Source organism: Homo sapiens, chromosome 2 (assembly GCF_000001405.40).
Source record: "Homo sapiens chromosome 2, GRCh38.p14 Primary Assembly".
Lineage (NCBI taxonomy): Eukaryota > Metazoa > Chordata > Mammalia > Primates > Hominidae > Homo > Homo sapiens.
In genome coordinates this window covers 85,220,023-85,241,965 of record NC_000002.12, presented here as the reverse complement: position 1 = coordinate 85,241,965, position 21,943 = coordinate 85,220,023, and the positions used below count along the sequence as shown (strand labels likewise).

The window sequence follows — 21,943 nt, the reverse complement described above, 5'->3', positions numbered from 1 at the left end:
GAATATTTACCAAAAAGCAAACTATTCCTGGACTCACGGAGTTATCCAGGTCCTAAGGAAATACAAATAGAGTCCAACAGACAGTTTAGTTAAAATACTAAAAATAAACAGTGGCTGTATTTAATTTCTTTTTTTAAGTTTCTAAGGAAGTCAATAAAATAAAAATATATCTGGGGCCTGAATTATCATGCATGAACAAGGACTGCTTGAAAGTGTACCCAGGTTGGGCCCGATGGCTCATGCCTATAATCCCAGCACTTTAGGAGGCCAAGGTGGGCAGATCACCTGAGGTCAGGAGTTCGAGACCAACCTGACCAACATGGTGAAACCCTGTCTCTACTAAAAATATAAAATTAGCTGGGCATGGTGGCGGGCACCTGTAATCCTAGCTGTCAGGAGGCTAAGGCAGGAGAATCGCTTGAACCCGGGAGGCAGAGGTTGCAGTGAGCCAAGATGGTGCCATTGCATTCACCTAAGCAACAAGAGTGAAACTCCATCTCAAAAAAAAAAAAAAAAAAAAAAAAAAAACAAAAACAAAGTGCATCCAGTCCTCTGGATCAAAGAGTGCAAAGAGGCTCTTCCCTGCTGTTCCCCTGCTCCCATCCTCTAGACTCAATGAGTCAGTCAACAAACTTCTACTGTGCACCACCATGTAGAAGGCACTGAGGACAGGGCATTTCAAGAGTCAAATGAGGAAAATACTCGTGTGCCAACTTCTGTTCCCACACTGAGAAAGAAAGAGAGCAAAAACTGCTGAGCTCCAAAAGACATGCTGTGTAAAAAATGTTGAAAAGGAAGACAAACCCTTTAAAAGGGTGACCTTGGGCGGGCCCTTCCCAATTGAGTTAAATGTCACTAACTCTGAGAACTTGTACTTTCTGATTTCCTGATTTTGCAGAATCTAAAGCTAGCATAATGAATTTAAACCCTCCAGCTTCCTTCCTTTCTCCATTTCCTTAAAAACAAAAACAAAAGGCACAGATTTAATATTTCCATTAAAATAAAACTTAACAAAAAGCATCACATACTTTTACTATTACCATAGTTTAGGAAAGAAACACATTTTTCTCTCTTTTGGCTGCAAGACTATTTTTTCAAATTTCAGCAGGCACAAAATTCTGCCCCTTGGTGACTTAATCTGTAAGTACAAGCACTATTTCAGGCAACTGATTTTTTTTTTTTTTTTTTTGAGGCAAGAGTCTTGCTCTGTTGCCCAGGCTGGAGTGCACTGGTGTGATCTTGGCTCACTGCAACCTCTGCCGCCTGGGTTCAAGCGATTCTCCTGCCTCAGAGTAGCTGGGATTACAGGCACTCGCCACCATGTCCAGCTAATTTTTTTTTTTTTTTTGTATTTTTAGTAGAGATGGGGTTTGGCCATGTTGGCCAGCCTGGTCTTAAACTCCTGACCTCAGGCGATCCACCCACCTTGGCCTCCCAAAGTGCTGGGATTACAGGTGTGAGCCACCATGCCCAGCCAATGGTTTTATCATCTGTGTGTTTCTCAGTTATCTCCTTCACCTCTAACACGGGAACTGTTAGAAACAGGAGGGAAGTTCCCATATCAGCCCTTTGACTCCTCTCCGGTTTGCCATCCACACCCTCTGCGATGACAGCCTGAGGTTTAAAACATCCTTCATCTCCACAGCAGTCCCCCGGCTTCCTCTGTGTTCACAACAGCCTTGTGAGAGAGGGAGGTGCAGGGACATAATCATCTCCATTGTGCAGAGGAGGAAAGGGAGGCTCCCAGAGCTGCTCTGTGCAACGTGGTCCATGCAGTGCAGTGGCCACTTGCCACATGTGGCTATGGAGCCCTGGAAATGGCATGCAGGCCACAGGAAACACACACGGAACACTCAGTACGAGAAAAGAACATCCAACGTCTCAGTAATCAGTCTTTAAATTGATTACATGTTGAAATGCTAATACTGTTGATGAATTGGGTTACATAAGATATACTATTAAAATTAATTTACTTGCTTCCTTTTCATTCTTGTTTTTTTTTTGTTTTTTTTTTTTTTTTTAGATGGAGTCTCGCTCTGTTGCCCAGGCTGGAGTGCAGTGGCGCGATCTTGGCTCATTGCAACCTCTGCCTCCCAGGTTCAAGTGATTCTCCTGCCTCATCCTCCCCAGTGGGTGGGATTAACAGGTGCGTGCCACCATGCCCGGCTAAATTTTTTGTATTTTTAGTAGAGATGGGGTTTCATCATGTTGGTCAAGCTGGTCTCGAACTCCTGACCTCAAGTGATCTGCCTGTCTCAGCCTCCCAAGGTGCCTGGATTACAGGCATGAGCCACTGCGCCCGATCTTCATTCTCTTTTAATGTGGCTACATGAAAATTTAAAATTACTGCTTCAGCTTATATTTCATTTTTATTGGACAGTACCACCCTGGAGAGATTGGTGCAAAGTCATCCAGCAGGCCAGGGACAGACCTGGGCCAAATCCACTGCTCCCACTGCGTTTGGGGGCATGGCATCTTCCAGGGCATGATGGGTTGGGAAGAGTTTGCACATAGAGGAGAAACAGTCCACACTGTGATGAGTTTGCACATAGAGGAGAAACAGTCCACACTGTGCCCAGCATGAGGGGGAGGGATGCTGCCTGGGGTCTGTGTCCGTGGCAGGGCAGGGAGGGGTCTGGAGGGCAGGGAGCAACCCTCACAGCAGCAGAGAAGCAGGGCAAAGGACCACAGGGAAGGCCTCCGACTGCATAGGAAGGAGCATACAGGGACTGCAGGGGGAGCCTCAGCCTGGCGGGCTGGTCCAGTGAGGGAAGTGGGGTATATACATCTCCAAAACAGGGACCCAACTCTTAACCCTTCCTTCCATCTCTTTTCTACACAGTTAAATTCTACACAGTTAAGGAATTACGTTAAATTTTATATCAGATTTAGTCATACCCCTGGACCCCTGTTTAAAATGCTCCAATACCAGTTTGGCCAACATGATGAAACTCCATCTCTACTAAAAATACAAAAATTAGTCGGTGTGGTGGTGGATCACGCCTGTAGTCCCAGCTACTTGGAAGGCTCAGGCAGAAGAACTGCTTGACCTCGGGAGGCGGAGTCAGCAGTGAGTGGAAATTGCGCCACGACACTCCAGTCTGGGCGACAGAGTAAGACCCTGTCTCAAGAAAAATAAATAAATAAATAAATAAATAAATAAATAAATAAATAAATAAATAAATAAAATGCTCCAAAAGATTGTTCCCTGTCCATCCAACCTAAAGTAGCCCCTCAGATACTACCCCACTGTGCTGCGCAGTCCTCTGTATGGTGTATCATTACTGTCTGGGTGTTTCCATCTGTTCACTCTCTGTTTCCCCCCAGCAGAATGTGATATCCATGAGGGCATAGACTTTGCCTGTGTGGTTTTCTGCCCCATCCTCAGCTCCTAGGACAGTGACTGGAGGCAGAAGGCAATCCATAAGGAAGCGTTGAAGGAAGAATCAATGAAGGAATCACGGCCCCGGCTGTGCGGGATGACTCAGTTCCTACCACGGGTGCCATGTGCCGGATAAGATGCTGCTCTGAATCCCCCCAAAAGAGTAGTCATCTTCCTTGCAGATAAGGCAGCTGAAGGCTCCGTGTCTCTGTTTGCTTGTGCCCTTCCCCCAGTACCTGGAGAACGGCCTTCCCTGCCCCAGCTGAAGCTCCTAAGCCCGCCTCCCGCTGCCTGCCCTGACTTCGGGGCTCCTCCCCTTCCTCCAAAACCCTTCACAGGACACAAAGTGCCGAAGCCTGGAGTCGTCTGTGTGCTGGCCTTTCTTCCCCATGCACTTATGGACTGTTAGTGAATAGTGCCTATGTCTTACACAACTGAATCTCCACCTCCCTCGCTCGCTGCCACTGCGCCAGGGCTGCTCTGGGTATACAGCAGGAACCTAATAATCATCTGCTTCAACTGAGCCAGGCAGGGAGAGCCTTTCCTCCCACTGACCCTGGCGGCCCAGGGCGGAAGCCTCCTTCGCCTGGAATGCCACCACCTGTTGGGTCCTGCCCGCATCACCTTCCCCCTGCGTCACTTTCCTCTTTGTCCGCTCACACTTTGCTTGCATGCCTCCCGCTTCTGCGGAGGCATGTCCTCCATATGTGAAGAGCCAGGGAGCCCGCGAACCCCGCTTTAGGCCTCCTGTTCTTACCCTCTCCTCCCTGACCCTGCCTGATTTGGCAGCCCCCCACCAGCCCCCTCCCTCCTTCTTCATGCCCCTCCTCCCTCCCCCATTATCCTTAGCTTTGCAACCCACCCCCCAACCCCACTGTTTACACAGCTGCAGAATGAAGAGATGCTCTCTTCTCCACTCTCCAAGCCCAGGGTTAATATATGTGTATTTCTGGCTCCCCACAACTTGGGGCAGAGGGAACACTGCCCCCAACCCAATCTCCTGTAAATAGTTGGTACATGGATAGTGACATTTTCTGAGGATGGAAAAGCATGTTGAACCACTTAGAGTGAGTGATCCTGTGGATGCCTGTGCAGGTTGTACATAGCCTTCCTGTAGCCCAGGAAAGGAGCAGCTGCTCCACACTGTGGAAGCCCCAGACAGCAAGCGACAGGCTGAGAGGGGGCTGCACTGCAGACCTCGGAGTCACCAGGGCTCCAATCAGGGGCCACAGTTATAACAAGGATCCAGTGAAGGATCCTTGTTATAACTGTGAGCTGTGATTGCACCACTGCATCCTTCTCAGTCCAAAGCTTGGCCAAGTGTGTGGGCAAGTTGCTGGAAATTTTAAAAAACACAACAAACCACTAGACAAACTGTCCAGGAGTTCTAACAAATACCTTAGAACTATAACAAAAGGCTTGAAGGTATTTTGGGCCTCTCCAGTCCTAAGACGTGCTCCAAATGATCACCACCTCCTGGACCATACTTCAGGGCAGATGGGAAAACCCAACCAGAAAGGTCTAAAAAGCACCTCTCCTGAGCCTATGGTGGTATCTCAGCATCCTATTTCAGACTAATGCAGGTTATCTGAGATCAGAGTTCCAAGAAAAGAGCTTACGACAGTGACCTGGGGTCTGAGGGATGCAAAGAGCTGATGCCCTCGCCCCGTGGTGGTAGACAGGTTTAGGGAACAAAGCATTTGGAAATCTCAGTCACTGCAAATGACCCTGCAGTCCCTCCTTCTCTCCTCCTGGTTCCTATTACTCGGCAATTCCTAGAAAGCCATGAGACTTTTGACGCTCCTCTAAAATGAAATTGTTACTTTGCATTCTGACTTTCTCCCAGGAGCTCAGACTTGGGACTCTGTTTACCTCTTATGTTGCCCCTGCCCCCAACACAGCCCCCAGAGCATGATACATGGGTAGATACATATAACTGATCCCCGGCAAGGCTCTCTTTCCAAGAAATTACCTGACTTACCTTATGGGATGCCTCCCAGCCAGAAATCTGACAAGCCCAGCACCTGTCTCTCACCTTTCTCTTGAAAATTCATTCTTACATTCTGGGGCTCCAGGGACACACCAGGGGGTTCACACAATTGCATCCAGAGGCCTCCAGCTGCAAACATAGAAGGAAAGCCCCTGGATCTGACCCACACCAGAGGCCTCTCTGCAGACAAACGGGGGAAGTATGGACCTGATTTTGCCTGTGATGTCTCCTGGAGTCCAGGACAACCATGGTGACCCAGGTCATCTCAAAGCAAAGAACAGAGTCCAGAAAAATCTGCCTGTATGGACAGAGTGCCATAGGGTCTGAAATACTCACTGATACAGACCGGGCTTGAGTGAATAACTCACTTCAGGGTTGTTAAAGCCATCTTGGCATGAGTCTCAAGGTTGGGTTTTTTTTGGGGGGGGGATGGCGTGGTTTGAGACAAGGTCTTGCTCTGTCACCCAGGCTGGGGTGCAGCAGTGCAATCACAGCTCACTGCAGCCTTGACCTCCAGGGCTCAGGCAATCCTCTCACCTCAGCTCCCCAAGTAGCTGAGGGCATGCCACCATGCCTGGCTAATTTTTTGATTTTTTTTGTAGAGGCGAGGTCTCACTATATTGCTTAGCTGGTCTTGAACTCCTGGGCTCAAGCGATCCTCTTGCCTCCGCCTCTCAAAGTGCTGGGATTACAATCATGAGCCACAGTACCCAGCCTGGTGGGTTTTTATTTCTGGTAGAGACAGACTTTCCCTATGTTACCTAGGCTGATCTTGAATGCCTGGGCTCAAGCAGTGCTCCCACCTTGGCCTCCCAAAGTGTTGGGATTACAGGCATGAGCCACACCGCACCTGGCCCCTTATAAGGTGTAGCCAAGTTTTTATTTATGTCATTGCTAAAAAGGTACCTGTTTTGCCCTTGCCCTTAAGATCCTAATGCCTTGGCTAGTGGAGAGCGTCACAGGTATAACACATTGGCTGCCTCTTCCTAGTTGAGCTCCGCGAGGCTTCTGGGCTGCAGGTAGGGATTAGCTCCATGGTACAGATGAGGAAATGTGCCCATGGTCACACCACAAGGGAGCCAGCCCTGAGCCTAGGGGGTGGGGCTCCCAGCACGGGGCCTTCCTCTTTTCCACACTGCCCCTTAGGAACCACATTCCCAGCATCCCCAGAGGGTGGTGATAAACCAACCCTGCTCACTCCACTGCATCCTAGATTGTAGGATAAAGAAATGGCTTCGGGGAGACAGGGTAGGGACAGACAAAGTCCATAATGAAGCCAAACTCACATCCAAGTGCTTTGGATTAATATGAGCGTGTTATTTGTACTTAGTGGGGACCCAGGCCTAAACTAAGGGAAAATGAAAACAATTCTGACAGCCATTTCCTTGCTTTCTTTCTCCACCCAAGAGGTACCAGTGGTTAACAGTATGGTGGCAACAAGTGGGTCAGAGGTCAGCCCCTCAGTAAGCTCTGGTTTCCATGGAGATGAGGCCTATTCATCCAGCACACAGAGCCTCTTCACAGCCACTTACACACAATTGAGCTATTACTGGGAGCCCAGGAGAGCCCTGTCTGGAGCACAGTGCGCTAGACAGGGCAGGGTTTAATGGAGCTGATTAAATGGTAGTTGGGGAATTATCCAGAGCAGGATTTGAGAACACCCTTCAGAAACAAGTTAAATCCCCAAACCTCGGCCCATCCCCAGCAACCCTCTCCTGCAGAGCCTCTGCAATCCAAGCCACCCTTTCACCTTCAATGATGCCAACATCTGCACACTCAAGCTGACCTCACCTTTCTTCCCATGTGTCCATGAGACGACAAAGCCCTATTCTGAGTTTCCTGGACCTCACCACCTTTAGCGTCTTCATCTTTTGCTTAGCATCATGGTGATTTTGTGATTTAGAAAGGTATCAACCCACAGACAAAAAATTAAAAGTTAAGTAGGCGATCCACTTCGGGCAGAACATAAATTCCAGCAGATGGGGAATGTGGTCCAAGACTTCTCAAGAGGTGAGAAATTCTTTGGCATATGTTTGGGAATTCGTGAAATCAATCTTTTGAAAGAATGGGGGCATTCCTTCAAAAGATGCAGTACCATCTGTAACTTACCAGGCAGAGTTTCTACCAAAATTTCCACAACCTTTAAAATCAGAGTGGAATGGCCAGGTGTGGTGCCTCACACATGTAATCCCAGCACTTTGGGAGGCCGAGGTGGGTGGACCACAAGGTCAAGAGATCGAGACCATCCTGGCCAACATGGTGAAAACCCATCTCTACTAAAAATACAAAAATTAGCTGAGCGTGTTGGCAGGTGCCTGTATTCCCAGCTACTCGAGAGGCTGAGGCAGGAGAATCGCCTGAACCTGGGAGGCAGAGGTTGCAGTGAGCTGAGATCATGCCACTGCACTCCAGCCTGGCGAAAGAGCGAGGCTCCATCTCGAAAAAAAAAAAAAAAAAAAAAAGAAAAGAAAAAAGAAAAGAAATGAAAAAAGCAGAGTGGAACAAGAGAGATGAAAAGTGAAATGCCTTATTAGAAGATTATATTCTCACACAAAAACTTTACGTGACTATTTATAACAGTTATATACATAATCTTCCCACACTAGAAACAATCCAAATGTTCTTCAGCAGATGAATGAATAAACAAACACGGGTTCATCCATACAACGGAAAACCGCTCGGTAATGAAAAAGAACTACTAATACCTGCAGCAATGTGGATGAATTTCAAGTGCATATTAGTGAGCAGAGGAAGCCAGAATCAAAAGGCTACACACCATACGAATCCACTTATATCCTGGAAAAGGCAAAACCAGAGGGATGGAGAGTGGATCAGCAGTTGCCAGGGTTTGGGGCTCACTACAAAGGGGATGCCCAGGGAAATTTGGGGGTGGGTGGAATTGTTCTATATCATGATTGTGGTGGTACAATTTGTTAAAACCCCAAAAGTTAATTTTATAGCATGTTAAAAATAATTCTCTGGCTGAGTGCAGTGGCTCACGCTGGTAATCCCAGTACTTTGGGAGGCTGAGGCGGGCAGATCACGAGGTCAGGAGATCGAGACCATCCTGGCCAACATGGTGAAACCCTATCTCTACTAAAAATACAAAAATTAGCCAGGCGTGGTGGTGTGTGCCTGTAATCCCAGCTACTCAGGAGACTGAGGCAGGAGAATCACTTGAACCAGAGAATCGGAGGTTGCAGTGAACCGAAATCACGCCATTGCATTCCAGCCTGGCAACAGAGCGAGACTCCATCTAAAAAAAAAAAAAAAAAAATCTCTGAATTTAACCTTTTTAGAGAACACAAAAAGAAAGTGTGCTGACTCTTCAGGTCAGGAGAAAATGAAGAAGAATCTCCAGGATGGGTGTGGGGGCTCACACCTGTAATCCCAGCACTTTGGGAGGCTGAAGAGGGTGGATCTCTTGAGCCCAGGAGTTCAAAACCTGCCTGGGCAACACAGGGAGACCTCTTCTCTACAAAACAACCCAAAAAGTTAGCCAGGCATGGTGGCACATACCTGTAGTCCCAGCTACTGAGAAGGCTGAGGTGGGAGGATCTCTTGAGCCCAGGAGGTCGAGGCTGCAGTGAGCTGTGATTTCGCTGCACTCTAGCCTGGGTGACAGAGGGAGACCCTGTCTCAAAAAAATAAATAAATGAATAAACAAAATCACAAACAAAAAACAAAAAAGAATCCCCTTTGTTCTCTGAAGTTACACCTGCCAAGCTGTAACAGTAGCCCACTGGTTTTAATTCCTGTTGCTGTTATTGCTAACCAGGGTAAGGTAAAGATGAATATATTCCAGAACTGAAGCACTGCGTGGATAAGTATAAACATTCTAATGACAACCGGGATTGGATGGGGAACATCAACATTTATATTTTTTGAGATCTTGCTCTTCCTGAATATGTCACTGGAAGAAAAATAACAGTGGAGGAGATACCGCTTAATCAGTAGGAGAAAATAGTGGGAAGGAGAATGCAAAAATAGGGTTTAATGCCCATATGCTGAACAGTGGTGAACAAACTTAAGATCATCATGCAAAGGGGTCAACAAGACCTCACAGAGGTCTTGGCGGAATGAGACAGACGAATGGCTGCTTGTGTCCGTGGAATGTCAGCTTCCCCAGGACACTCATATCACTGCTGTGGCCCCCAGAACAGCTTTGGGCCATGGAGCTGCACCATCAGTATTTGTTAGATAATGAATAAATCTGAGGGTAGAAGTTCAGAGGAGGAAATATGATTAAAAAGAAATGGAGAAGAAATAATGGAGGATGTATACAGATCGCTTGACCGGGCTGAGCATCACGAAGCATTCCTGAGAGAGACTTAAAATAACAATCACAAAAACAAACACACACAGAGCAGAAAACAAAAGACAGAAAGCAGACAAAGGCGAGAATGGATTGCACGACAGCCTCAAGTCTCCAGCCTCTGCTGGCAGCTACTCAGCCCTGACCCGATCGCCTTGTGGGCTGCTGATCTGGGAGGCTCACCAGTCAGATGCAGAGGAAACATGATGAAGATCTGGACTCTCAACGGTGTGACAATGAGAAATGACACCCATCTTACAGCATACCAGGCACCATCCGAAGTCCTTCGCTAACATTAACTCAATCCTCTTGAGCACTATCTGAAGTAGGGGCTGTTGAGGGTCTCATTTTACAGATGAAGAAACGGAGGCACAGGGAAGCTCTCTGACTCACCCAGGGTGGGATCTAAACCTACCCTGACCAAAGGGTCTGCACCCTCAATCCCTACACTACGCTAGAAAAAAGAGATAAACCCACCAACACAAGGTTAACAGAAATGACGTCCTATACCCATGCCAGGGGTGGGAAATAGTGTGTGGAAGGGGACATGGTGGGAGGGACAGTTACACATGTGGACAATAACTTTTGGGGGAGTCGATTTTACAACATGGGTGCCGGAAAAACGAAGCTGCTTCAGTGGCCAGCATACTCCCTGGTGCCCAGGGACTGGTGTCCTGATCTTGGATACACCAGCGGTGGCCCAGAGTGGAGTTGGGTGGGTGGTGCAGAGAGCTGAGGACATTCAAAATGATGTTGTATGAGACCATCAGTGTGAGGAAGGTGATCTGAAAAGTGAAAGGCTGTCACGTGGACGAGGAGGAATTCAGTTTGCTCTAGGCTGCCCCCATCACTGCAGGTGTTCAGGCAGAGGCCAGGCAACAAATAGTTGGACCAGATAACTCTGTCATCTCAGCCAACAATTGATCATTCTCAGATGTGAAGTGGTTCTTAGGTCTTCTAGAGCTACTCAGGAGTGAAAAGCCCAGTTTCAACTCAAAGTAGGAATACAAACCAGGATGCTAGGAGGAAGCGCCAGACAGAGGAGAGATGCTTGGGCAGCTGAGTCAGGTGGGCAACCCTACAGCCTGGGGCTCTCTAACAGACCCACCTCAACAGGCCTGGCTTCCTGGGGGCGCACATTAGACCTGGCTGTTCCTGCTGGCCAGCTTAGTAACCTCGTTCATCTGCAAGATACTTGCAGATGTTCCAAAGGATTTTCAAGTACCCTATAATGTTTCTGGGAACATTTATATGTTCTTCCTCTCTAAATAGAGCATTATTCCTGAGGGGACCAAGATTTCAAGACACAGGGATCTGTCCAAACTTAGACTAAGTTTTGGAAAGTTTTAGGCATTTGTTCCTTTATGGAAAACTAACAGCAAATTAAAAGGCGATATCCACCCATCCCCTCAGGCTTTTCCTCTGGCAACGTGTATGCAGCCTTGAAGCTATTACAATTTTTGTTTTTTAAAAAAGCACGTTAGTAGTACTGGTTCTTCGCAATAACAAGGCTGCCCCACAGAAAGCAGAGTGTCACGTAGGGATGCAGGAGAAATGGGCACTCTATGGTTGCCCCCGGTATAAGCTGATTCAGCCCCCTGCAAGGAAATCTGGTGATATGATGTAGCTTTAAGATGTTTCTAAGGTTGGGCGTGGTGGCTCATGCCTATAATCCCAGCACTTTGAGAGGCTGAGACGAGTGGATAACCTGAGGTCAGGAGTTCGAGACCACCCTGGCCAACATGGTGAAACCCCATCTCTACTAAAAATTCAAGAAATTAGCTGGGCGTGGTGATGGGTGCCTGTAATCACAGCTACTTGGGAGGCTGAGGCATGAAAATCACTTGAACCCAGGAGGTGGAGGTTGCAGTGAGCCGAGATCACACCATTGCACTCCAGCCTGGGCAACAAGAGTGAAACTCTGTCTCAAAAAAAGATGTTTCTAGCCTTTTACTCAATGAGCCCAAATCTAGGATTGTACTCCAGGGTACTAATCCTAAATTCAGAAAAAGCTTAATCCATAAGAATCATGCACTGCACTATTGTTTATGAGAGTAAAGCACCAGAAAAACCCGAGTTTCTAAAAACAAGGAAACAGGGGAGTCAACTGAAGAAAGTGCTTAGGATAAAGTATGAAGTGAAAAAAGCTGGACACCAAATTGTACCTCAGTATGAAGACAACGATATTTGAAAAAGAGAAAGAAGCAGAAAACTTACATGCCAGAAGAAAGGTCTGGCAGAAAGTGGACCAACATTTAATTTATTTATTTGAGACAGGGTCTCACTTTGCCACCCAGGCTGGAGTGTTACTGGCACTATCTCAGCTCATTGCAGCCTTGACCTCCCAGGTTCAAGCGATCCTCCTGCCGCAGCAGCCCATGTAGCTGGGACTCTAGGCCTGTGCCACCACGTCCGGCTATTTTTTTGTATTTTTAGTAGAGACAGGTTTTCCCATGTTGGCCAGGCTGGTCTCAAACTCCTGAGCTCAAGTGATCCACCTACTTCAGTCTTCCAAAGTGCTGGGATCACAGGTGTGAGCCACTGCACCCAAACTGGACCAACATTTTAAAACTGATATATATTGGTGGCTGGATGATTAAGTAAAATTTAAAAAAATCTTCCCCCAATCTCCAAATTTTCTTTAATCAACACACTTTCACCTTCCCTTCTCTCTCTCTCTAGTAGCTCAAGACAGACGAGGTGATGACCCCTCTGAATGTGCTCCCCCCTTCTCTGTATGTAACTCAGTCTGGTGTGCCTCTTCCTAGTGTCCTGTCAGAATAGAGCTGCACTTGTACACATGTTCCTATCATTCCAGTTCTTTCTCTCTCCATCTCTTTAGCAGAATTGGGGTTATAGGACACCTTTTCAATAGCTCCTGTTTCCTTCAGAATAAGGTTCCAATCTCCTTCCTTCCTTCCTTTTCTTTTTTTGAGACGGAGTCTCGCTCTGTCTCCCAGCTGGAGTGCACTGGCACGATCTCAGCTCACTGCAAGCTCCGCCTCCCGGGTTCAAGTGATTTTCCTGCCTCAGCCTCCCGGAGTAGCTGGGACTACAGGTGTGTGCCAACACGCCCAGCTAATTTTTTGTATTTTCAGTAGAGACAGGGTTTCACCATGTTGGCCAGGATGGTCTCAATCTCTTGACCTTGTGATCCGCACGCCTCAGCCTCCCAAAGTGCTGGGATTACAGGCGTGAGCCACCGCGCCTGGCCCAAGGTTCTAATTTCTTTTCCTTTCTTTTTTTTTTTTTTTTTTTGAGACAGAGTCTCTCTCTGTCGCCCAGGCTGGAGTGCAGTGGCGCAATCTCGGCTCACTGCAAGCTCCGCCTCCTGGGTTCATGCCAATCTCCTGGCTCAGCCTCCCGAGTAGCTGGGACTGCAGGCGCCCACCACCCTCCCCGGCTAATTTTTTGTATTTTTTTTTTTAGGAGAGATGGGGTTTCACCGTGTTAGCCGGGATGGTCTCAATCTCCTGACCTCATGATCTGCCCGCCTCGGCCTCCCAAAGTGCTGGGATTACAGGCGTGAGCCACCGAGCCCAGCCTAAGGTTCAAATTTCTAAGAATGATAAAGAAGGACTTTGAGGGCTGGTCTCTGTTACCTCCCTAGCCCATCTCTCAACATCTCCTTCCTTGCTTCCTGTGACTAAATTCCAACCATTCTGAACTCCTTGGGAACCCCAAGTCAGGTGGCATACTTTGCAGGGAGCCCCAACCCACCTCTTCGCTCCCTTTCAAGGTCTAGGCTGCCCTTCCTCAGCACAACGTCCCCACTGGTGACTGGACATTCATCCCTCTCTCTCACTTGAAACGCAGTCCCTCTAAGGCTGGAACCCTATCATTTAATTTTTATTAAACAGAATTTTGTGTCACTCTGTTACCCAGGCAGGAGTACAGTGGTGCAATCACGGCTCACTGCAGCCTTGACCTCCTAGTCTCAAGGGATCCTCCTGCCTCAACTCCCCAAGTAGCTGAGACTACAGGCGTGCACCACCACACATGGCTGATTTTTAAAATTATTTGTAGAGACTGGGTCTCGCTATGTTGCCCAAGATGATCTTGAACCCGTGGGCTCAAGTGATCCTCCTGCCTTGGCCTCTCAAAGTGTTGGGATTATAGGCATGAGCCACCACACCCAGTCTCCTATCTTTTTATAATACCTTAGTCCCTAAGACACTGCCCAGACTGCTAGGACCTACTCAAGGATTAAATGTTGAATGGAAAAACAAATACCCAAACAACATGAAAATGTTTGTGACTAATTTTTTTTTTTTTTTTTTTTTTTTGGAGACAGGGTCTTGCTCTGTCACTCAGGCTGGAGTGCAGTAGGGAGATCATAGTTCCCTGTAGCCTTAAACTCCTGGGTTCAAGCAATCCTCCCACCTCAGCCTCCCGAGTAGCTGGGACTACAGGTGCACGGCACCACGCCTGGCTAATTTTTATTTTTGTAGAGACAGGGTCTCACTCTGTTGCCCAGCCTGGTCTTGAACTCCTAGCCTCAAGAGATCCTCCCACCTTGGGCCGCAAAGTGTTGGGATTATAGGTGTGAGCCACTGTGCCCAGCCCAGAATCCAGAGCTTATAAGGAGGATGGGAAATGAGCCATATACACTCAAATAAGTGGCAGGCATCACTGGTTTCTATTAGAATGGTAGAAACAAGACTGAAGAGTCAAGTTTTTAACTAAAGCTAAGCTTATATAATTTAAAAGACTGTCCTTTGCTCTAGGGTGAGCTTGTCCCCCCACCCACCCTTTTTGTTATTATTAAAATATTCTTTTTCACATGAAATTAGGATCGTTGTTTCTCTTAATATTCTTACTTGGTTAAAAAAAAAAAAAAGAGGGGGTATTACTCTGACAGTCCCTTTTCCCCACCAAGTTTTCTGAAATTCGAATGGTCCAAAAAACCCAGGCGTTGTTCAAGTGGCAACCACTCTAGTAGTTCATGGGAAGAACAGGTCGCCAAGGCCTGAGGGAGAGGGAGGCTCCTTTAGTTGAGTTCAGAGGGGGTTTGACAGTGTAAGCAGAGCAGAGCAATGCAGTGAGCGGAGCTAAGTGCAAAGGGGTGAGGGCAGGAAGAGAAGTCCAAAGATAAAGGGATTTGGTAGAGTTGTTACAAGGTAGATGCCGGAAAAACAGCAAAACAGCATAGGAGTGAACATTTGTTAAGCACCAACTCACTCTGGAGACCAAGTGCTTGTATTTTCTCAGCCACTCTATGTACGCTTTTGCACATCTGATCTTAAAGCCTCTCTGAGTGAGTCCCATCCCCATCCTGCAGGGTCACAGGGTAAAACGGCGGCAGCGGTGCTATTTGAACCCAAGCCCTGACTGTTCTCGCTGTCTTAGAAGCAAGACCTTGTGTTCAATTTATGATCAATGAGGATGCCTTGAAGGTTTGCAAGCACGAGAATGACATGGAGAAAGTGGTGCACTGGGAGGTTAAAAAAAAAAAAAAAAAAGGCGGGGGGAGATAAACAGAAAGGGAAGAGCTGGAGTCAGGGGCACTACTGCAGTGATCCAGGCTGGAAAACCACAAACTGTGTTCTGAGAGATGGCTCTGGGATCACAGGACAGTTTTAGAGAATACATAGGACCTAGGAGTGAGTGGTTATTATGGGACAGGAGGGAGAGAAGAGCTGAAGTCACCAAGTTTGGGTGATTAGGAGAATGGGAACTAAGAGAATAAAGTTGGGAGAGGAAGCTACTTTATGGTGGTAGATTTCCACCAAAACTTGGAAGTTGCACTGACATAGAGAAGCACAGTGTGGCACAGCAGCAAAGAAGCCAGGTTCCAGGCTAGCCCAGATTCAAATCCTGGCTTTGCCAGTGACTTAAGGGACTTGCCACTGACTTAGGCAAGTAATTTATCTGTGTGTCAGCTTCCTTAATGGTAAAATAGGGATAGGTACAAAATGGAGCTGGTACCATTCCTTCTGAAACTATTCCAATCAATAGAAAAAGAAGAAATCCTCCCTAACTCATTTTATGAGGCCAGCATCATCCTGATACCAAAGCCTGGCAGAGACACAGCAAAAAAAGAGAATTTTAGGCTAATATCCCTGATGAACATCGATGCGAAGATCCTCAATAAAATACTAGCAAACCGAATCCAGCAGCACATCAGAAAGCTTATCTACCACAATCAAGTTGGCTTCATCCCTGGATGCAAGGCTGGTTCAACATATGCAAATCAGTAAATGTAATCCTTCACATAAACAGAACCAACGACAAAAACCACGTGATTATCTCAATAGACGCAGAAAAGGCCTTCAACAAAATTCAACAGCATTTCATGCTAAAAACTCTCAATAAACTAGGTATTGATGGAATGTATCTCAAAATAATAAGAGCTATTTATGACAAACCCACAGCCAATATCATACTGAATGAGCAAAAACTAGAAGCATTCCCTTTGAAAACCGGCACAAGACAGGGATGCCCTCTCTCACCACTCCTATCAACACAGTATTGGAAGTTCTGGCCAGGGCAATCAGTCAAGAGAAAGAAATAAAGGGTATTCAATTAGGAAAAGAGGAAGTCAAATTGTCTCTGTTTGCAGATGACATGACTGTATATTTAGAAAACCCCATCGTCTCAGCCCAAAATCTCCTTAAGCTAATAAGCAACTTCAGCAAAGTCTCAGGATACAAAATCAATGTGCAAAAATCACAAGCATTCCCATACACCAATAACAGACAAACAGAGAGCCAAATCATGAGTGAACTCCCATTCACAATTACTACAAAGAGAATAAAATACCTAGGAATCCAATTTACAAAGGATGTGAAGGGCCTCTTCAAGGAGAACTACAAACCACTGCTCAACGAAATAAAAGAAGACACAAACAAATGGAAGAACATTCCATGCTCATGGATAGGAAGAATCAATATCGTGAAAATGGCCATACTGCCCAAGGTAATTTATAGATTCAATGCCATCCCCATCAAGCTACCACTGACTTTCTTCACAGAATTGGAAAAAACTACTTTAAATTTCATATGGAACCAAAAGAGCCGGCATAGGCAAGAAAATCCTAAGCAAAAAGAACAAAGCTGGAGGCATCATGCTACCTGACTTCAAATATACTACAAGGCTACAGTAACCAAAACAGCATGGTACTGGTACCAAAACAGAGATATAGACCAATGGAACAGAATAGAGGCCTCAGAAATAACACTGCACATCTACAACCATCTGATCTTTGACAAACCTGACAAAAATAAGCAATGGGGAAAGGATTCCCTATTTAATAAATGGTGCTGGGAAAACTGGCTAGCCATATGTAGAAAGCTAAAACTGGATCCCTTCCTAACACCTTACACAAAAATTAACTCAAGATGGATTAAAGACTTAAATGTAAGCCCTAAAACCATAAAAACCCTAGAAGAAAACCTAGGCAATACCATTCAGGACATAGGCATGGGCAAAGACTTCATGACTAAAACACCAAAAGCAATGGCAACAAAAGCCAAAATTGACAAATGGGATCTAATTAAAGAGCTTCTGCACAGCAAAAGATACTATCATCAGAGTGAACAGGCAACCTACAGAATAGGAGAAAATTTTTGCAATCTATCCATCTGACAAAGGACTAATATCCAGAATCTACAAAGAACTTAAACAAATTTACAAGAAAAAAACAAATGACCCCATCAAAAAGTGGGCAAAGGATATGAACAGATACTTCTCAAATGAAGACATTTATGCAGCCAACAGACATATGAAAAAATACTCATCATCACTGGTCATCAGAGAAATGCAAATCAAAAACACAATGAGATTTCTCATGCCAGTTAGAATGGCGATCATTAAAGTCAGGAAACAACAGGTGCTGGAGAGGGTGTGGAGAAATAGGAACACTTTTACATTGTTGGTGGGAGTGTAAATTAGTTCAACCATTGTGGAAGACAGTATGGCAATTCCTCAAGGATCTAGAACTAGAAATACCATTTGACCCAGCAATCCCATTACTGGGTATATACTCAAAGGATTATAAATCATGCTACTATAAAGACATATGCACATGTATGTTTACTGTGGCACTATTCACAATAGCAAAGACTTGGAACCGACCCAAATGTCCATCAATAATTGACTGGATAAAGAAAATGTGGCACATATACACCATGGAATACTATGCAGCTATAAAAAACGATGATTTCATGTCCTTTGGCAGGGACATGGATGAAGCTGGAAACCATCATTCTCAGCAAACTATCACAAGGACAGGAAACCAAACACTGCATGTCCTCACTCATAGGTGGGAGTTGAACAATGAGAACACATGGACACAGGGAGAGGAACATCACACACCAGGGCCTGTTGGGGAGTGGGGGCTGGGGGAGGGATAGTGTTAGGAGAAATACCTAATGTAAATGACAAGTTGATGGGTGCAGCAAACCAATATGGCACATGTATACCTATGTAACAAACCTGCACGTTGTGCACATGTATCCTAGAACTTAAAGTATAATAAAAAAAGGTAAAATAGGGACAAAGAACAGCAAGCACATACCTCATGGGAGGGTTGCTGTAGGGACTAAAGGTGTTCTTATTTGTAAAGTCCTAGAAAGTGTATGCCTTGCGGGGTTAAATCACTCATTCCCCCAATTTTTGCTGTGAGTGGTTGCTTTTGGGTACTTTTTGCTGGGTTTTGCAACTTTCTTCATCCTCCTTCTCATTCTCAGCACACCAGTATCTATCCAGCTCCACCTGGGGAAGCAGACACCCCATACATCCACCTCCAGCAGCTCACTTGATCAGGCCTTATTCCCTACCCTTGCCGGCCCCTCCCTCTAACCCCCCTTGGCTGTGGGGTCCTGCTCAGACACTCAACCATCCACCAAACACTCTAACTTCTACCTGGGATTCTGCCAGGTGAATAAAAATGAAATATTTAAAACCTTTTATTTTGTGGCCAGGTGTGGTGGCTCATGCCTGTAATCCCGGCACTTTGGGAGGCTAAGGCAAGAGGATCACTTGAGGCCAGGATTTCGAAACCTTGTCTCTACAAAAAATTTAGAAAAATTAGCAGGGCGTGATGGCACACACCTATAGTCCCAGCTACTCAGGAGGCTGAGGTGGGGGGATTGCTTGGGCCCAGGAGTTTGAAGCTACAGTGAGCTATGATTGCACCAGTGCACTCTAGCCTAGGCGACTGAGTGAGATTCCATCTCAAAAACAAACCATTTTGGAAAATTTCCAATGTACACAAAAGTAGAGAGAACAATATAATGAATCTGGTTAAGCCACCACCAGGTTCTGCAATTACTAGCTCATGGCCCGTCTCCATTCATCCATCCCCCACCCACTCCTTGCTCATCCACCCCTAAGCCCAAGACTATTTCGAAACAGAGCCCAGATAGCCTATCACTTCATTGGTAAATATTTCTGTGTGTTATCTCTAGAAAGCAGAAAATTTTTTAAAATCCTAAAAAATGTTTTTAAGGGTTAACAATAATTTTCTAATATTATGTCTTACAAATAATTTTTCCCTACAGTTTATTCCAATCAGGATCCAATGCATGGTCCATACATTTGCTATTGGTCAATTTATGTCTTTTATTCTTTTTTAAAGCCTTTAATCTTTTTTTTTTTTTTTTTTTTGAGATGGGGTCTCACTCTGTCACCCAGGCTGGAGTGCAGCAGTGCAATCTAGGCTCACTGCAGCCTCTGCCTCCCTGGCTCAAGCAATCCTCACAACTCAGCCTCCCAAGTAGCTGGGACGACAGGTGCATACCCCTGTGCCGGGCTAATTTTTTGTATTTTTGGTGGAGACAGGGATTTCACCATGTTGCCCAGGCTGGCCTTGAACTCCTGAGCTCAAGCAATCCACACCGTGGCCTCCCAAAGTGCTGGGATTACAGGCGTGAACCACCACGCCTGGCCAAGCCTTTAGTGTTTTTTTTTTTGTTTGTTTGTTTGTTTTTTTTTTTGAGATGGAGTCTCACTCTTGCTGCCCAGGCTGGAGTGCAATGGCCAATCTCGGCTCACTGCAACCTCCACCTTCTGGTTTCAAGCGATTCTCCTGCCTCAGCCTCCCAAGTAGCTGGGATTACAGGCGTGCGCCACCACGCCCGCTTAATTTTGTATTTTTAGTAGAGACGAGGTTTCACCATGTTGGTCAGGCTGGTCTCGAACTCCTGACCTCAGGTGATCCACCCTCCTCGGCCTCCAGAAGTGCTGGGATTATAGGCATGAGCCACCGCATCTGGCCACCTTTAGTCTTTTATAGCCTTTTAATCTTTAGGAGTCTTTCTCTTTCCCTATTTCCACCCTGCCCACGCCTCCTGTATTATTCGTGGAGGAAACCAAGTTATTGTTCCTGTAGTTTTTTTTTTTTTTAAGTCTGGATTTTGCTAATCATATCCTCATGGTGTCAATCTAACATGTTCTTCTGAATTGTATTTCTGGTAAATTAATAATTAGATCTAGAGGCTTGATCAAATTCAGGTTCAATGTTATTTTACTTTATTTTATTTAGGGGAGAGGGAATGCCATGGTTTGAATATGTCCCCCAAAGTTCATGTTTTGCAAACTTAATGCATAATGCAACAGTGTTGAGAAGTGGAAACTTTAAGAGGTGATTAGGTTATGAGGGCTGTGCCCTCATAAATGTATTAATGCCCTTATTGTGGGAGTGGGTTCCTGATTAAAGTATGAGTTTGCCCCCCATCCCCCATTCTGCCGTCTTGTGCACACACAGGCGTACTCTCTTGCCTTTCTGCTATAGGACGATGCAGTAAGAAGGCCTGCACCAGATGCTGAGCAGATGTCGGCACTATGCCCTTGGACTTCCCAGCCTCCTTAACTGTGAGCCAAGTAAATATCTTTCCTTTATAAATTACCCAGTTTGTGGTGTGCTGTTACAGCAACACAAAATGAACTAAGACAGGAAACAAGACTATTTCTTCTTCATTTATTAGCTGAAATACTTCTGTAAAGAAAAACTTTCCTCAACTAGTGGCCCAGTGGCAAACAGCACACAGCACAGGCAGGACAAATGCGTGATTCTTTCTATTAACATATTGAAAATAATGACTCAGCTCCCTGTTGTCCTCCAAAGGAGACCAGTGTTGTGTTTATTTTGTTGTGTTTTCTTGGTGTCAGCGTGAACTTAAGGATTTTAATAAATATAATATATTCTTGATGATCTAATTATTTCATCTTTTCCGTCTTACTCAGTTTGGCTGCTGAGTCCTTCCGACCTAGCAGCCCTAGTACCTGAGTGCGTAACAATAGACTTGGGTCTCTAATGGTCTTCAATAGCTTTCATGCTTTCTTGTATAACAATATATTCTAGGCTAACTTCATACATCGAATCAGCTCCTTCTCCCAGGAGCCTGGTTTTATTTTAACTGGGAAATGGGATTTGGTGAATATAATCTGAGCACTGGAGCTGGTCAGTGCTATTGAGATAATCATTGTTTCTAATCTTTTCCAGTGGATAGAGCTACAAAATATATATTCTCTCTCTTTTAAGCACCAAAATAACTTTCAAAATAAGCTTTAATTTTAAAAGGAAAACTAAATTATTTATTCCCACTTTTCTGAAGTTTTAAAAATGTTGTTTATAGTTATGGAATAAACTATCATCTAGTTATAAAACTATAGGCTGGGTGCAGTGGCTCATGCCTGTAATCCCAGCACTTTGGGAGGCTGAGGTGGGTAGAGAACGAGGTCAAGAGATCGAGACCATCCTGGCCAACATGGTGAAACCCTGTCTCTATCAAAAATACAAAAGTTAGCTGGGCATGGAGGCGCGTGCCTGTAGTCCAAGCTGCTCGGAAGGCTGAGGCAGGAGAATCGCTTCAACCTGGGAGGAGGTTGCAGTGAGCTGACATTGCGCCACTGTACTCCAGCCTGGGTGACAGTGAGACTCCATCTCAAAAAATATATATACATATATATATATTTTTTTTTAAGTACAGAAAGTAAGTAGAGACACTAATGGACACCAGATTGAATAGCTTATCATTTTCCCATATTAATCTAGAGCTCCCCACCTCTTTTTTTTCTTAAAGAAATAAAGTGTTATTGATATAGCTCAAGTATCCGATCTGTCATTCATTTATCTGCCCTCCCAGAAGTAATGTTGTCCTAAAGGTACTGCTTGTCATACCTCTGCATGTTTTTCATTGAATATATTTCACTACATATGTATTATCCACAATTTATAGGTTCAATGAGTGTCTTCAATTTTTTATTTTGAAAAGTTCCATTTTACAGGAAAGTTATAGGAAAAGTACAATAA

At 45.5% G+C, this 21,943-nt stretch overlaps 1 protein-coding gene across 2 annotated transcripts in view, besides 3 other annotated features; it reads right to left on the bottom strand.

The window, feature by feature from the left end:
• The window catches only part of TCF7L1 (transcription factor 7 like 1), a 176,996-nt gene that overhangs the window by 68,422 nt on the left and 86,631 nt on the right, over positions 1-21,943 (bottom strand). The gene's annotated exons all lie outside the window — the stretch shown is intronic.
• Positions 3,165-3,668: an enhancer, noted in NCBI's record as "H3K27ac-H3K4me1 hESC enhancer chr2:85465421-85465924 (GRCh37/hg19 assembly coordinates)". NCBI's record gives its function as "activates a minimal SCP1, AML or CMV promoter by ChIP-STARR-seq in primed H9 embryonic stem cells {active_cell/tissue: H9 hESC(primed)}" and the evidence as "EXISTENCE:reporter gene assay evidence [ECO:0000049][PMID:30033119]".
• Positions 3,669-4,174: an enhancer, noted in NCBI's record as "H3K27ac-H3K4me1 hESC enhancer chr2:85464915-85465420 (GRCh37/hg19 assembly coordinates)". NCBI's record gives its function as "activates a minimal SCP1, AML or CMV promoter by ChIP-STARR-seq in primed H9 embryonic stem cells {active_cell/tissue: H9 hESC(primed)}" and the evidence as "EXISTENCE:reporter gene assay evidence [ECO:0000049][PMID:30033119]".
• Positions 6,705-7,210: an enhancer, noted in NCBI's record as "H3K4me1 hESC enhancer chr2:85461879-85462384 (GRCh37/hg19 assembly coordinates)". NCBI's record gives its function as "activates a minimal SCP1, AML or CMV promoter by ChIP-STARR-seq in naive H9 embryonic stem cells {active_cell/tissue: H9 hESC(naive)}" and the evidence as "EXISTENCE:reporter gene assay evidence [ECO:0000049][PMID:30033119]".